We start from the raw sequence: 18,788 nt of genomic DNA on the forward strand, positions 1-18,788 counted from the left end.
ACCTCTCTGTGCTTCAGTTTCATTATTTGGTAAAATCAAGTTGTAGGAATTATATGTAGCAAACCCAACACAGCACTGATTGCTGGGCATATTTTATGTTGCCATTGCTTGGAAACAAAAGGCAGTAATTTCACTAATTCTGAGAGAGTGTTCGCCTGGTTAAAATAGAATGAGAACATAGAACTATAGATATTTGAAGTTCTGTAGACAAAAGGCAAAAGTGTGTGTTTGTGTAAGTGAGTTTGTTCACATCTGTGTATGTGAAAACTGAATAAAAGTTATACTGAAGTAGAATTGTCATCTATAAAGAAGAGATTGAGTAACTACAAAGCTGTAATTATTTAACAGGCTTCCTCACAAATTAGTGAGTTTCTCTTCCCATAGTTAGCCAAGCAGAATCCAATTACCATGTATTGGTGATTTTGTTGAACAAAGCCATGCACTTAAGAAAGTTTGACTCAGTGACCTCTACTATCCATTCAAATTAAGATTCTGTGAATTTAAATCCACACAGTAATCAACTGTCCTAGAATAAAAGTAGTCCCTCTGGCTCATCTCTTTTTTATCACTCATTATATCAAAGGTACAGCCTTCCTAGAGGCAGACTCTCATTCACTTTTTTTTTTTTTTCCTGAGTCAAGGCAGGATGTATACCCTCAGCTCTTGCGAGGTAGAATTAAGTATCATGGTCCCTTTGCTATAGGGACAACTCTGACTCTGATGCATTATGCATCTGGTTTTAGTAGAATGATAAACCTAGTGGCTGGGCAGTTCTTTTACTTGGTGATAAAATTAGCATTAATTCCCATCTTACTCCATCCTCAAACTAAATTTCCTGAAAAAGATTAGTTAGTTCAGAATTTTGGTTTGGTTGGTTGGTTTAATATACTTTACAAATATGTTTTAATGCAAATCCCCAATCCAACAATATTGACATCAAATAATTTAGTGTGTTATCCTTTCCTATAGACTCAATTTGCAGGGACCACAGACACTGCATACTAAATATATCTGACCTGTTGGCACAGATCCTTTGTCACAGTTTATGTATCATTTACTTGAGTCATAGCTGGCATTTACTTCCTACCCATCACTTAACATTCTGTCCTCTAACCCTCAGTCTCAGAGTCGTTTTCAAATGACTCTTTGTGATTCCATTCAATTTGCAAGCTGATTTACATGCTCCCTGTCTGTGGGAAATGCCATAATATTTTCAATCTGTTCCACTTAACAAATTTGTTGCACAGTAGGGAAGCTATACCAATCATTCTTTCATGATATAAATTTGCAAAGAAAGGAGATGTCCCTGTATCTGATTTTGAAGGATGTGGGCTTCACCCTGTTTGTTAATGACAAACAATGTAAAGATGCAAATTTCAAGGCAATATTGTCTCTGTGTTTTTTGATCTCTTTTTATTGTTTGTAGAATTTTAATTTATGCTGGGCAAGCACAAACAAAAAGTACATCAGAGAGAAGTTAGGCTTTTCAGAGAAATATACACATTGTTTTTAGAATTCAACCAGTATTAAGTAACTTGCTCATAGCAGCAGGAAATAGTTATTCGTCCTCTTCTCTACTTATTGTTGTGTTTATTAGAAATATAAACTGGCTAGAAGAACACAGGCCTCCTGCATTCTGGAGCTTACTAGATGCCATACTGTCAAGCAATATAATTGCATAATCACCTTTCCTCTTCATAACAACTTTCAGAATTGGATATTTCTGTTACCATTTTTACTGAAGACCAGGTTGAAGATTTGAGGAACTTGATGGCCCACCTGCAGTCACTTTTAGAATTTAAGCATGGCTTTTCTGTCTACAAATTCATGTTCCTTCCAAAACACCAAAAATAATGGCATCCATTGAAGGTTTCCAAATAAGGAACATGATGATCAAAGTCATATTTCTTAATAGCCCTTCCTCTCTACCTGCATTTTCCCCATTCATATCCCGTACCTAGTTAATCCTTTTAATAAATAAGGTTTTAGCTCTTTATTCCATATTGTCTTTGCCTTTTATTACTTTGAAACAGGCATTGAAAATAATAGCAGCAACATCTACATCAAAAATTCATAATACAATTGACAATCCTAAAGCCTAATATAACGAGTTTTACATGGCTTCTTTGCATGTATCTAGAGACACAAACCTTTCATAACATGTGATTTTAGAGGTAAACAAAGGTCACCTGATATTAAAAGATTAAAATTTAACATTATGACTTCATCCAAAAATGAAATTCTCCTTGTATTTGATGAATTTTTAAAGAATAATCCATTTGTACATTCATATAAATATGGAAAATACTATGACAAAAGGCTAAAAGGACACAGGCCAAGAAAAGAGATCATTTAAAGACTAAGGGCATTAGGGCAGTGGATAGGATGAAGAAGTTAACTGAAGTGGTTATTAGAGAAATTAAGGTGAATGCTGCTCAAGACAGCCTTGCTGAGAACAGAATGAAAATTAAGTGATGACTAGATGATAAATACTACATTTCCATAACTCTAAGACATTATCAATTTAATAACAACCTTTCAGAAAGTGATGTATCACAATTTGGAAATGTTAAAATATGCAACATTTTGCATTGGTAGAGACATGCAGACCTACGAGAGAATTCACAAGATCTATTCCTTTTGTGAAGGCCTTTATCTTAAATCTTCCACTCTTGTTTGGTACTAGGAAAAGTTTAAGTCAGCTAGAATTTCCACCTAATCCTTCCTGTATTATAGTTTTCTTCTATAATTCACTTTACCTTTTAGCAATACATTTTATATTTGAATTCCAGTCCAATGCATCTGTCCTCTGAAACCTGATATGATACAATGGTTTGGTTCTGCTTCATCCAATTTCCTTCAGGGCTCAATGGAAGAAGGGGTGTTGTCCCATTCAGTGGTCCACAACATGAAGAATAGTGGCTATAATTAGTAGTGGGGCAACTTACAACATGGAAGTATCAGGAAGAAGACATGTAAAAGTAGCCAGAAAATTAAGCCTTTTAATTGGCTGGGTAGGTTAGCGGCAATTACGCTTAAAAAAGGTATTTAAGGTGGTTTCTACATTCTTTACCAAAACCTGACTGATTTAGTGCTTGGTACTGGGCATGTTTACTAGCAGCAGTATTAAGTTGCTTCTCGTGGGAAAATAGTATACTGAAAGTCCATGGAATGAGGTGGCTAATGAGTTTTTTAAATTGTGTTAGTGGTCACCTGGAATGAGTGTCTATGAAAGATGAAGCATTGATGGACCAAGTGGCTGTTGCTGTAGATCATTAGCATAGGAACAGCGAATACAATTACTGTGGGATGAGCCAGCAACTTTTGGCTGAATTGGAGAGGTGAAAGAAAGATAATATGTCTTGATCAGGTTTTAAATTCTTGACTCAAGAAATATACAGAAGGCCAGGGAGCTACAGTACTATACTAATATAATCTGTTATCTCTTTAGTCACAAAAGCTGATGTAGCTAGAAATCAGACACAATTTAACTTTCATCCATAGTCCTTTAAGCCTTCTTATTTGAAACAATGCATTGTCAAGGAATGCCTAAAGCCCTAAGAAATAAAATGTATGGAAACCTTGGGTAAATTCAGATGGATATTTATTATAGTCCAATAATTCCAGACCTACTGATTCTCTTGACAGCAGAAGCAACTTCTCCTTCTTCTTTTTTTTTTTTTTTTGTTTGTTTTTTGGTGGAATTTCGCTCTTGTTGCCCAGGCTGGAGTGCAATGGCATGATCTCGGCTCACTGCAACCTCCGTCTTCCAGGTTCAAGTGATTCTCCTGCCTCAGCCTCCCAAGCCAAGTAGCTGGGATTACAGGCATGCACCACCACACCCAGCTAATTTTGTGTTTTTAGTAGAGACGGGGTGTCCCCATGTTGGTCAGGCTGGTCTCGAACTCCCAACCTCAGGTGATTCGTCTGCCTCGGCCTCCCAAAGTGCTGGGATTACAGGCATGAGCCACCACGCCTAGCCTAAAAGAAGCAACTTCTTACTCCGCATCACTCAGGACTTCATCTTTTGAGGCTGGGACTTCCTTGCTTATGATGATTATACCTGACATAACTTTCTTGTAAGCAAATTCCATTTCCCTTTATGTCCTTTCCCTTCTATTTCTCATTTCTTCCAATTTTTAACTAAAATAAGATCCTAGCATGCTAAAAGAAGCAAAGGCTTAAGAACTGGTAGACTATAATATATTGGCAGAATGCTAGAGAACATGTGTGGGGACAGATTCTAGGAGTGATTCACTGGGGGAAAAGGAACATAATATTTTAATTTAATCTACTCTGTCTATATAGGTAAGATTACCAGAAAATCTCACCCATTTAGATACAGTATAATCAGCACCCAGAAAATCTGAATTCAAGGACTTGGCTAGGGCATCTTGAAGTAGTTGTGACTTTGCTTGGCATATTAGCTGACATTTGGACCTAACTATGGCCTGTAATAAACTAATTTAAGATCCTAAAAGTTCCTAGAATTGGGGTGGTGGTGAAGGAGTCTAAAATTTGAGGAACATAAAAATGGAACTCTCCTCATAGCTCCTAAATATTGGGAAGGTAGAAAAAACACTTATTTAGCCAGTACATTGAAAAATACGCGATGAGGAAACAATCACCATCCTCCAATATCATCCTAATATCTGTCCTCTATAGGTGAAAGGTGAAGACAAACAATGGTACCACTGAAATAAGTACTTTTATTTCAGTGAGCATGATAGATTCTAGAGTGTTAGAAGGCACTCGGCTGCTTAACCACCAGGAGCAATTTGCATGTGATTTCTGCTATAGGTAAGTTAACAAGAAGCAAAATCAGAATGGTTAAATCAATAAAAATAACTGTTGTAGATGAGTGATCTTGCAGTTTCTAGGTAAATGTGGCTGTATCCTCTCGTATTGTTATAGCTAAGGAACAATTAACAAAATTTTTGTCCTCTCTTTCCGTGATTTAAACATTTTCTGGGGCTTACTAAGGGTCTTACTTTAGGGTCTTACTAAGATCCAAAACCCTCAAAGTCACAGTGATTGCAAGGGGAAATCAACAATTATTTTATCAGACATTTGAAACTTCTCATGTTTCTGAAACTGTAGACAAAAGAAATAAAAAGAAAAAGAGAGTAAATTTAGACTGGGGCAATGGTTCTAATTATCAAAGAAAAATAGAATTACTGCTACTCAACTCGGAAAGAGAGGGTCATTCATTTTCCCAAGTGCTTCTCTGGGGAACCTTTCACTTGCCCATAACAGTGCAACATATAATGGAAGACTATTGAAATGTGGTGCTGGTGGGACACCCAAGTGTTTATACCTTTTAAGAATGAAGAAGTAATTCACCTATCATGTAAAGAAATGTGATCAGTTGAGGTGCTGGATACAGGCTAAGGGAACAACAAAGGGGTATAAGATGAAGAAAGTTACGAAGGCCAACTCTAGGCTGTGACCTCAAGCCCATTTTTAAAAATGGTCTTCTTCCATCTTTGCTTTATTCTAATCATGTAAGTTTAACAATTCCCCCACCCCCCATGGCTTTATATACTATGTCTTTATAGTACTTAAAAATAACTTATTCTTTAAGTAATAGAATATAATGGCATTATTGTGCCTGAACAGAAGAGAGATAAACATCACACAGAAATGAGAAGTAAATGATTGTTGGGACTTCATGAAGCCCATTTTGGGAGATATGTTTTCATTTGTTGGTGCATAACTTCCTAATTTAGGTGATAGTGTATTATTATTGCTGTAGTTGGAGTTTGGAATTTAGGTAAATGTAGGACACATATAGGTTTAAGCAACGACAAAAGTAATTTAGTTTGTCCAGTTACCATTTCACCTTTCTTCTAGTGTGTTCTATCATATTGTAGAAACTGGAAGGCTTAAAATTGCATTCATATAACTCCCTCATGGCCAGAGTGTTCTAGGTATGAATTAAAGCCCAACAATTAGCTGCTCTCATGTAATTCTAAATGAAGAAATAAAGTGGAGCCATGTTTTTACTATTGCTATTTTCTGCTTGCAAGCAAAACTGTGACAACATGATATTGTGGCAAAATTCTGGTGTCCATTCTCAGGCTTCTTGTATGCTGAGAGACAGCTGAGGCAGAGCAGTCGTAAGGTTTTATGTTCCAATATCTTTTATCAGCTTATGTGTGTCTAGAAAGAGTAGTGGTGGTAGCACACCACAGACAATAGCTTCTCCAGACTGCAGTTTTATAATCTGAGATTATAGCTAAGCGGTATGGTCTTTAACTCAATAGTTCTATTGTATTCTCAGAGGTAGTAGTTCTCTGGTACAGTAGTTTTGCAGATTTCTTAGTAATTCCTGAGGCTCAGTCTAGGGTCCATTACTTCATCCCTTCCAATGATTTTGTAGGTACCTATTTACCTATATTAAATCTCTCTCTTCCTTACTTACAATGGATAGCTTCTATTTCTCAAATTGAAATTTAATGCAAGGGTGGACTCTATCCAATGGAAATCTCTTATTATTTTGCAGAGCTTCTTAATAGATTTCAATATGCAGAAGTGTGTTTCAAAAAGATTTTGGCAGTAGAAACTAGGAAGGAATTAATTACTCTGCAAAATGAAAAGAAAATAATTTCAAGATCCTGGGTTATTCACACAATAGAAGTGATGGAGAAGAAATTATTTAATGAAATAACATAAACACAGGGAAACAATAAGAAGTGTAATGAACTGAGGAATGGCTGAAGAAACTTACATAAAGAGGTGTAGTAATATCTGCATTGACATGTTTTTAAAAATCTCCATCTTACCTCTCTCTTAGCCTTCCCAATAACTTAAGTGAAGTCTATTCTATTTACAAATTACCTGTGAGTCTGAACTTTTTCAGAAAACTGAGACAAAGCCAAGTTTTATATCTTGGTTGACCAAAACTGAAACAGACAGAAGTTTCAGGGTTGAGATATAATACATAAACCTTTTAAGGCAAGGAAAAGGCATTTAGATTGAGAGGTGATTGTGAGATTACAAGCCCTTAACAATTCAAAGAAATCTTTGACAAGGTTTGATCTTCCACAGGTTGTGGAAAGGTGAATTCAGAGTGATGTATATACATGCTAGAAAGCATCATAAAAATAGGGAAATTTTATCTACTTGATGTTCTTCTGCTTTATTTTCCTTAAATAACTTAATCTTCCTGGAAATCTTGTAAGAAAAATATTAAAAGCAGTTAAGACAAATATTACATCATCTTAGCATTGATAAATTAAACAGAAGAAAAAGATTTAAAAGAAGTTCTTTAAGTATTCACTCTTTAACTCATAAATTTATGCCTAAGTATTTTTTAATACTTCTCTGCTAATACCCAAGGGTATACAGTGGAATAAGATAAAGTGCTAGTGCTCTGAAGCAGTGGTCCCTAACCTTTTTGGCACCAGGGATGGGTCTGGGGGTGGGGAGGGAGGATGGTGTGGGGATGAAACTGTTCCATCTCAGATCATCAGGCATTAGTTAGATTCTCATAAGAAGTGCACAACCTAGATCCCTTGCATGTGGAGTTCATAATAGGGTTTGGGCTCCTATGAGAATCTAATGTGGCCACAGATCTTTCAGGAGGTGGAGCTCAGGTGGTAATGCCCACTGGCCAGCTGCTCATCTCCTGCTGTGTGGGCCAGTTCCTAACAGATCATGGAATGGCCCCCCGGGGGTTGGGGATTGCTGCTCTAAAGGGTCAAATGCTTAGACAGATTTGCTTCTTAAGAAGCAAATACCACACCGATAAAAGAATTAACTATAGGAAAATGAAGTGTGTTAGAAAAAGCCAGACGAGGAGAATTCATAGAGCTCAATGGCAATGGCACTGAAGTGTTTAAAGATTGCAAAGTAGTTAGACTAAGTATAGAAGAGGGAAAAGACTTAGTCAAGCAGAGAGAGTAGTATCTGCAAAGACATATGAATTTTAAAGCTTGTTCTCCATTACAAAAATTGCAAATAGTTTAGCTTGGCTGGAGAACAAAGTCAATGTTGCAGAGTAAAAGGGTGCTACATATGAGTCCAGAGAATTGAAAAGGAAATAAATAATGAAAGAGTTTATATTTTATTCACAAGGCAATAGTAAGCAGTCAAAAAATTTATATGAGTGATGTTATGTTATTGTATGAAAAGTAACTTGAAATGTTTAAGAGGCAAGGAGGGCAGTTCATGATATGTCATAATAATCCAATCGCAATGAATAAGGACATGGAGTTAAATAGTGCCAGTTATGATGAAGACAGCTACTAATTCTAGAGCCATTGAGAAAGAAAAATAAACAGGACCTAACAACGAATATGAGTAGAAAGAAAAGCAAAGAGACAAGGATAAATTCTAGGTTTCTGTCTTGTAGTTAAGAGTTGATATAAGGGTGGTAGTTATAAATACAGAGGTTACTGGAGTTAAAAAAAAAAAGAAGGAATAGTTTTTGGTCCTAATGATTTCTGAAATTATTTGTTACACTGGACTAAAACATAAAGCATAAAGCTTTTGTGTCCCTAGGGCTCAGAAAACATTTCATGGTAAATTAGCATGCAGATAATTACAGCTGCCTCTTCTTTTTAAACACTTAGTCTCAGCAGGCAAGTGTGTTTGCATGTGTAATAAATGCTCCCTCCCAAAATCATTGTCTATGAGGACAAGCCCTGTTTTATTAGAGACAGAAAACACTTACAGTTAAATGAGTTATAGATCTCCCGCTATTCTATGCAGCAAGTAAAACAAACAATAGATATAGGTATTATGTATTAAGATGTAAGAATTATTTAATGTGACAAGATGTGTCTAATATAAACAAGATCTACCCATTCATGTATTCATTCATTCTCAGTGGGCAGAAGTAGCCAAGTATCACAATAAATTATTTTACTGAAGTAAAATAATTAAATAGACCCAATTTTGATGAGAAATTAGCCAATAATTAGAGAAGGCCTTAAATGCTAGTGAAGTGTCAGGTAGAGCAGAGAGGAATCCATCCATATTTCTTTTTTTAAATTTAATTATTTTATATTTTTTGGAGAGATAGGATCTCCCTATTTTGCCAAGGCTAGTGTTGAACTCCTGGTCTCAAGAAATCTTCCTGCATTGGCCTCCCAAGGTGTTGAGATTACAGGCATGAGCCACCATGCCCAGCTCATTCATATTCCTTGTTCTGTAATGGCATGTCCATAGTTTTGTTAATTTGCAACATATTCTTTCTTAAAAAATGGAATTAGATTTTCATGTCCCAGAGGAAAATAATACAATATACGTTGGAGAGGGTGAATTATTTATGAGGTAAAGAAATCAATGACTCATGATCCTTGCAGGTGGAAAAACTGACCTAGAATTGGAGATCCCACTTACCACTTGTTCACAGCCTGGCATCTCTCTTTTATTTATGAGATGAGTAGAGGTGGATATCATTGCTTATACAGCTAAATTCCAGGTATTGGACTGTAACAAAGATTCAGGGGGCTATCCAAGATATTTACCTGTAAATTAGGTAGACATTTTCCAGAAGAAGGTGAATGACTTCTATTGGACAAAGACATTTAGAGAGATAGATGCATTGGTAGAGACATGCAGACCTACGAGAGAATTCACAAGATCTATTCCTTTTGTGAAGGCCTTTATCTTAAATCTTCCACTCTTGTTTGGTACTAGGAAAAGTTTAAGTCAGCTAGAATTTCCACCTAATCCTTCCTGTATTATAGTTTTCTTCTATAATTCACTTTACCTTTTAGCAATACATTTTATATTTGAATTCCAGTCCAATGCATCTGTCCTCTGAAACCTGATATGATACAATGGTTTGGTTCTGCTTCATCCAATTTCCTTCAGGGCTCAATGGAAGAAGGGGTGTTGTCCCATTCAGTGGTCCACAACATGAAGAATAGTGGCTATAATTAGTAGTGGGGCAACTTACAACATGGAAGTATCAGGAAGAAGACATGTAAAAGTAGCCAGAAAATTAAGCCTTTTAATTGGCTGGGTAGGTTAGCGGCAATTACGCTTAAAAAAGAGTGGTAGATATTAGACTAACACATTCAATAAACTGTCCTCTGAGCCAAGCCAGGTGTTTAGTGCTATGAATATATGGAGAAAGAAAATAGATCCCACCCTCAAAAAGTTCACAGTTCCTTAGAAAAGTAAAAGAATATAAATGTAAGGTTATATTTTTATAAGGTTAAAATGAAGGGTTGTAAGCATGAAGAAGAAGGTACTCACAGAGTGACAAGAGCCCAGGGAATAGGACATTTAATATTTGATGGGCAGGAGTAAGACAATTTCAAGAGGAATTAAAACTTCAGGAATAGCTTAAAGAATGAAATATAAATTCTCATAAATTATAAAAGCATAGTCCTTCCTGTTCTTGTTTGTTTTTGGACAAAGTTTAATGTTTATTCCTTGAAAAAGTAAATATGAAGTTTGTTAGTTTCCTTTAAAGAAACAAACTTCTAGGAAGATTCGTCAGAGAAAAAAAGAATACAGATAACTAACATCAAGAATGAAAATGGGGACATAATTACAGAACTAGAAGGGAGTAGAAAATTAATATGAGGGTCTTCATGACATGACATTTGAAAATTTAAATAAAATGAAGAATTTCTTTAATAACTCTTAAAAATTGAAAATAACTATAATGAGACAGTAGTTGACTCTGGTAATAATCTACTCAGTAAATAAACACTAAGCACTAATTGTTTTATAGGACTGTACTCCAAACTCTCAAGAATATTTTTTAAAAATTTTATTTTTAGCTTTTTCTTATTGACAGGTAAATTAAAATTATGAGGGAATTTAAAGTGAATAAACTTATTTGAGAATTATACTGTTATTATGAAGAAAACCTGAATTATATTATCAGTGAATGCTTGTTTCCCCATATAATTTCCCAATTTTTATCTTATTCAGAAACCAGGCCATCTAGCTGCTATATCTTGATGTTCTCCCCTTTTTGGGGCATCCAAACTCTTTCCTGTTTTCTCTTTCCTCCTACTTTTATGTTCTTTCATTGTTAAATCTTCTCAGAGTCCTGGCTTTCTCTAGGGCTCCAGCCATAGATTTCATTCTTTTATCATTTTAAATGACCTCACAGACTTTTCTTGTCAATGTCACAGGTTTTAACAATTATTTCTGGGTAAATTCCCTACCCCTCAATTCTTCTGTTGGCTTTGGATCTTAATATCATCCTGTTCAAACTGAGATTTGCCTCCAAACTTATTCTTCATTTTATATTTTCTCTCTTGATGAAATTGTCACTATTCTTTCAATTATTCTATAAAAACCTGTATACTGAAATGCTTTCTCTCCCTCAGCCCTCAAATACCATTAATTGTGTAAGATTCTCTCTTCTAAATCTTTCTCTAGCCTTAGTCCCATCTTAATTTTTACTTCTGTTGCCTTAATTCAGGTCCTCAGTATCTTCAGTTTGAAAAATTGAAATAATTAGTTAGTCTCTCTGACATCATTCACTTCCACATATAATCCATCTTCCACAAGAGTGATCTTAATAAAAATTAAAATGTCATTCTATCTGTTGCTTAAAAGCCTTCAGTGACTGCCATTTATTTGCCTAAGTGATAAACACTAAATTCCTTAGAAACTGACTCCAGCTCCAGGTGCTACACAAATTGGCCACTGTGTTCTCTTGCCAACCTTAGATCAAAATATCTCTGCTCCTGGCCCCACTGTGGTTTATGGTCTAATAAATTTAAAATACACAGTATTGCCTTCTCCTCCTTTTAGTATACACACACTCTAACAGGGCATTTTTATTTCCTTGGCTTTGATTACCACTTCTATGTTGATGACTCCCAAATCTATATCTCCCTCCAGTATATATTTCCTGGACTCCAGACAGGGACATCAAACTGCAATGTTTATTTCTGCTAAAGTGTACTGCAGCTATCTCAAACCCAGCATTTCTGCAATTGGATTTATAATCTTCCACAAACCTATTGCATATAGCATTTTTAAGGATTTGTAGGAACATTTGTGTTATTATGGCAATACTTCATTTTATATATGTAGAAACAGGCTCAGAAAGGTTTATTTGTCAAGATGTTTTGTATTTTAGAAACATCAGCTTGAAGTAGATTTAATGAAAATGGTATAAATTATGTCCCATAATTCAAAGCTCAAAAGCCCTCATGAGATTTCAATTACTTCAATCTAGCTGCTTTTTGTATTCCCTCTCCCTCCACCATTCAGTTTAGATGTCTCCCTATTGTGGGCAATATGGCAGCCAAACTCTCTGGACTTATGTCATATCTTCTCAGCAGCCATTGGGTAAAAATAGAACTCTCTTCCCAAATGGTTAAAAAAAAAAAATTCCCAATGGAAAACGTTGTCAATCCATGAAAAATATGGAGCATGTACCCCTTCTGTGAAACAATAATGTGACCATGCAGATGGCCTATGTTAAGATATGTGTTATTTTGGAAAGCAGGAGATGAACCCTCAGTGGAACCATATGGATGTAGTAAGTGGTAGGAGTAATTTAGGAGATGGGAGGGGGGGATTATGAAACTGTTACCAGAACAAGGAGAAACAGATGCAAAGCAGGTGAAAGCAATAGCTACTTGCTCATAATTAAGTCAGCAAAGTGATCAGGCAAGAACTCAAACTCAGGTCATTTAGTTCCCATACTATCCTTGTTATGTTCTTCAATGAATACCTTCAGCTGTAACTTAGCAAATGGAGAGAGAGAGAGATGTAAAACAGAGCTCCTTATCTTAGGGAACTATAAATCTTATACTGTAGGTCAGTAGTTCCCAATCATTGCATCACCAACAACTTATAGTGTTTCCTCCTCTGAAAGCTATGACTTAAAAAAAGTAAATTTATAAATGACATTTATTATATAATAATTAAGAGATTGCTTATATTTTATTGATACAGTGCATTACTTTTTTTTTTAATAAAGGAAATTATTTACCTAGATTGAGAATGACTGTTTTTGGTGAAGAGCACTAAAAGCTAGTGAGCTGGGACATTGCTTCTGCATGACCTTTCTTGTCACAGAAATAGGTGGTTGGCCTTGTGTTTCTTCTGTGCCTCCTACATTTGTTTATTGGGCTCCAAACGTGTCTTTTCCTTTTACCCCTCATACGGATTTCTAACCCTCAACCCAACTAGTTTTCAGCCAGAATGTGGTATAAGAAGTAACTTACGATGGTGTGGTATTGATCACTAAGATGTTCACAAATGTGCTGTTTTTCTTCTGAGTAGGATTGCACTTTGCCACTCTCTTGACATTAGACATAGGCATGGGAGTCACTTTGGCTAACCAATTATAAGTGGTGGCATTTGCCATTTCCATGAGGAATTTTCAAAGCCAGTGTACAATCCAATGCCTTCCCCTTTCCTTCCCTAGCAGTCATGGAGACATGTGAGGAGATGGAGTCTCCATTAGCCTTTGTTCCTGAGAGACTACGATGCGCAAAGCCCTCTGCCAACCTACATTAGACTTGTAGCATGAGAGAGAAACACTTTTTGTTGTGGTGTTTGGTTACTGAAATTTTGGAAAGTGTCTGTTATTGTAACGTAACATAGCCTATTCAGACTGAATCAAGCATATTCCCTAAACCACCCAGGTATGTACCCCTTTCCAGTGGTATTTACAGTTTTAGAAAATGCTTGGAAAGAATCCAAAGGAAAGAATACATAGTGGTAGAATTTTAACATTTGGGAGTCCTAAAAAGTATTAATATTTGAAGGGTTCTACATTAGGCAAATACTCTACTGTTTGTTAGGGATCCATAAAAAACAAAACAAGAAAACTAAAGAAAAAACAGTCATAGAATTTGAATTTGGGCACATGCCCATGAGGATTTTGTTTTATCTCATTATTTTCTGAAGCAAATATATACTTAGACATGCCCACATTTTTAAAAAATAAAATATGGAAACTACCAAATGGAAGGAGTTGTTGCTCATTTACAGTAACTTCCAATTTAGTGACATCCAGAACATTAAAAAAAAAAAAAATTTGGATCCCTCTGCTTCTGTTCAAAATTCTGTCTTGAAGAAAAGAACATGATGAACTGCCCTTGAGTTGCTGTGACAAGGGAAATAAAACTTTATTATCTCTCTCTAAAGTTAGTTAGGGAAGGTTCTTCAGCCTGTCATAGGAAACTGGGAGGAAGGCTGAAGTTAATGAGCTGCTTGCATTGCGATGGCTTATTTCAAAGAAGCTGTGTTTCTCCATAGTGGAGCCATCAGAAAAAAAGAATCAGCAGGACAGCGGAAAGCATCATAATCAATAAGGGACCAAACCAAATGGTGTTTAATCTAACAGGACTATTCCAAACTATAGACAATAACAGTGTGAGTCTTCATTTACAAAGGCAATCTATCACATGTCCTCCCAAGAAAGTGAGAAGTATCAATCTCTTTAGCTCAAATTTAAAAATGCCGTAGAACAAAATAAACTCCATAGAGACAAAAAAAAAAAAAGTTTAAAAGATGTGGAGAGAAATGTGAGCGAAAGAGATTTAATCTCTGTTATCTGGGATGCAGCAGACAGTGGAAGTTCCATTTACCATCTGTGACTAAATGCACTAATGCCAAACTTTTACTCTCAGTACTACCTTCAGGTGGTCTGTGGCTTATTATCTAAAGGCTTGGGAATTATAAGTTCTCTCTAATGACATAGTAATGCTGGTAAAGGATGACTTTTAATATTTCTTAAAGGAGTGTCTGATTAATCAAGAAATGGAGTTTGCAGTCCTCAAATTTGCATTCTGAGAATTTGAGAAGGAAAGAGCTCTAAAGAGAGTAAACTCTTTTACAACCACCATTCAGGTGTTCAGCTTTATTTCAGTGCTTCTTTTATTATAATGGTATTTTTTTGTCTACACAACGTTATAAGTATTTGAGCCCTGAGGATACGTTTACTCTAGTAGTAGGAAATTAAAGATAACAAAAATATGCACATCCTCCTAGTTTAAAGGAAAAGCTTACCCTTATTCTATAGAAAATAAATGGACAAAGATACAAGAAACCTGGACTAACTTGAGGCAATTCAATTTATTGGTAAGTATTAGCACTAGTTAAGTCATCTAGCAGGGAACTCACATTGGAAGATTAAAAATGTGAAAGATTTTTGTAGAAGCAATGATCTCAATTATGAATTATTTACCGAGGTTTCACTTTTATTAATTTGTGTTTTAACAGCACACGTTTTTACATTACATCTATTTGCAAAGAGAAAATGAAAAAAATGGCTGGAAGTATGTGACAGGAGAAGGTTTTAAATGCTATTAAGTGAGCCTTGATTCTTGCCAATAAGCATTAGAAAGACAGGAGGTCAGAAAATGTGGTTTGAAGTACCATGCTTTCATTAGAGCGAACTTTATTTTTTTTTATTTTGTCTATATAGTTTTCAGTCTCTTGTTATAAAATAAAATCCTTCTCTGAAACAAAATTAATGTAAAGAATTGTCAAAACAAAAGTCTGTCTCAACTTTAAAATAACAAGTTTCTAATTATCTGCGGGAAAGATGAAAGTTAAAAAATTTTAGGTTTAAGATTGAATATGAAGATATACAACTATAAAGATTGTTTTTTGGTAAATTTGATATAGTCTAGTTTTCATTATGTTTGCTGTTTTTTCATTTCCATTTTTATTTCACATGTACCTGATGCTGTTTTTTAAAAATAATTTTGTGTGAATACATATAAAAATTTAAATTACTTCTCTGTATTTTACACTTTATTTTTACATATAGGTTCATTATATTTCCAGATTATAAGCCATCTCTATTATTCATATGAACTAAAATGGCCAAGAATTGTTTCAGTGATTTTTCTAAACAACTAAACATAGTGTAATAAGAATGTTGGAACCACTGTGTATATTATGCCTAATTTACTATTGCAACTGTTTCTTTTCTATTAGGATTTAATTCAGATGCTGAGCTTGATATCTTATGTTTTATATTATGATGTCTCTATACAGAGAGCTAAATTTTATTTTCATTTTATTTAAATTATTGGATATTTTTATTTACACACAGAAATGTGTAATATATTTCCTATATACAATTACTAGGCAAGAGGACCAAATTTGATTCCGAGCTTACTGAGTTCAAAGTAGAAAAAGAAAGGGAGATACTAGCAAGGTTCCTAATATTCATGAGAAAAAAAGAGTTCCCTAGATAAAAACTAGAAAAGAAAAGGCAGTTGGTTGCAAGATTTCAAGCCCAGAGAAAAAAACAGACAGCTATTAAGAAGAAGCTTTTAAAAAAATATATCTGAAAGAAATGTCTCTTGTGGGTCTTCCTACAAAAGACATTGTGTGATACACTGTAGGATATTCTCAACAGCATCTGCACAATAGATCCAATGACAAATTTATATTTTTTAAAGTTATTTTTCATGTCCTTGAGTGTAAGCTGGTAGCCTAAAGCCAAAACTCAATTTAATAAAAACAATTAGAAGAGAAAAGCCCAAATGGTGCAATCCAAATCCAGAGCTCTTTAGTGTTCTAGACAGATCCAAGGATAAAGTTGAGACTATCATAGGGAATGGACGAGCTAACTGATTGTAGTGGTCAATCACCAGAATCAGGGCAAATTCCTTCTAACGTGGAAGATCCTCCCAGTGTTTGGGATGTAGTGCCATTCATCATTGATTAATGCTATTTATGCTTCGTCTAGTGGAACATCAAGACTTCATTCGATAAATAAAAATCACCAAATCCCCATTCTTCTAAACTCTAACAAAAGAAATACAAAAATTTCTAATATTTTATTTACTTCCATCAGTATAAAAGGAGACAGTATCTTGCTAAGTAGGAAAAAACTATGATCTCCATTGCAACCTCATTATCATGCAGTGCCAGAGTGAATTTTTCCTCATAAAATGCCTAGGCCTTGAAACAACCCAATTCTAAATACTCAGAGGGGGAAAAAAAGAATATAGGATCTAAAAATAGTGCCAAAAAGTTTTACTATAATGAAAGTGTTGAAAATTAAGAATATCACCATGGTTTAAAATTACAAGCTTACTTGTTTATTACATTTTTCAATCTATCACTCCTAGGGATTATGCCAAGTGTCATGATTTTGTTATGAATTGATAGATACTGAGCTTACATTTTATTGGAGGGGACAGGGAGTAAACAAACAAACAAAAAACAAATAAAATAACCATGAGGTGAGGTGCGGTGGCTCACGCCTGTAATCCCAACACTTTAGGAGGCCGAGGCAGCCGGATCACCTGAGGTCGGGAGTTCAAGACCAGCCTGACCAATACTGAGAAACCTCATCTATACTAAAAATACAAAAACTTAGCTGGGCATGGTGGCACATGCCTGTAATCCCAGCTACTCGGGAGGCTGAGGCAAGAGGATCACTTGAACATGGGAGGCGGAGGTTGCGGTGAGCCGAGATCGCGCCATTGCACTCCAGCCTGGGCAACAAAAGCAAAACTCCTCCTCAAAAAAATAAAAAAATAAATAATAAATAGTCATGAACCTAACAATGGCTATGGGAAAAGTCTTGATTATCAGTAGAGTCAAATAAACTTAATATTAGAATATTGAAGGATGTGTCATCCTTCGTGAGTGATGGTATCAATTGCACTGGTATTTTTTTCTAGACTATATTTCATTTTAGACCAAGCCTAATTTTGTTCAGGCCAGAAAACATGCAGGTCTGTGGTAATTTGCATGACTGAAAAAGAGACTTTCATTATCTCTTTGAGCATGATAGAAAAAAAAAATCAACTGAAATTGTTCTCTTGGAGGTTGCTTCAGGCCAAACAGTCAATAATAAGGTAATAAATAAGACTTTATGTGAGTCCGTGGAAAGAACTTATTGAAAGATGACTATATTCCACTCCAAAACTATTCTCCTAGGTAGTTTTTCAAAGCAGAATTTCAGAATTTAGAAGATTATTACTCTGATGTGAGAGTCTGGCTGTGCCCGTGATGTAGTCTACTGTAAGTAAATAAAGTGAGATGCAAATTCATGTCGTTAAAAAATATTTCTTCTTCTTCACCTTGCTCTTAATATAATTCTTCAGTGAACATAATTCTTGATTTAAGCTTTATTTTACTAAATAACACACCTACTCAGTGTTTCGTCACCAGTATAGTTCTTCTTATTTTCAAAGCGAACTAATGAGAAGTTCAGACTCTCTGGAAAAAAATAAATCTATGATTTTTCTTTTGCATGTGAATTCCACCAGCAACAGTAGGGCCTGTTTCATGATTTATTATGTATGAGGCCATTTTGCTCTTGTAATACACATGAAGGAGCATTTTCTGTGCTTCATAATTGAGCAATAAGACATCAACAGCAAGCGGCTACCTCTGACTCCATGGAATATTTACAAGAATGAAGGCTGAAGTGCAAGTGATTTCAGTCATCAGAACAGTGCAATAATCTCAAAGAAAAAAAATACTTGAAACTCCTAATGCTATTCAAAATTGAAATTATAAAAATGGAAACATCTGCAACTACTGGATCCATTCACTCTGTATTATTAATTTGGGGATGTTGTCGTTAGCAAATCAGAAAATTTCATTTGTGCTAAGAGTTCTGAAACTATTCCACAATGAGAAGTTACTTATTTTTCTACTGGCATTTTCTAAGAAAATGGCTTATTCCTGCAATTCATTTGATAGTAAAACTGTACAAATATTTCTCAGGGGAATCCAGTTACTTTGAACAAAGAAGAAAGTCTCATTGATTATTTGTTTCCAGATTTGGAAGCTGGAAAATGAGACTCTGTCTCTGATAGAAAACATGCATTTTAGGAGCTGAAAACTGGAGGTTCATGGAGGGTGGTGAG

The sequence above is a fragment of the Homo sapiens genome, chromosome 5, assembly GCF_000001405.40.
Source record: "Homo sapiens chromosome 5, GRCh38.p14 Primary Assembly".
NCBI lineage: Eukaryota > Metazoa > Chordata > Mammalia > Primates > Hominidae > Homo > Homo sapiens.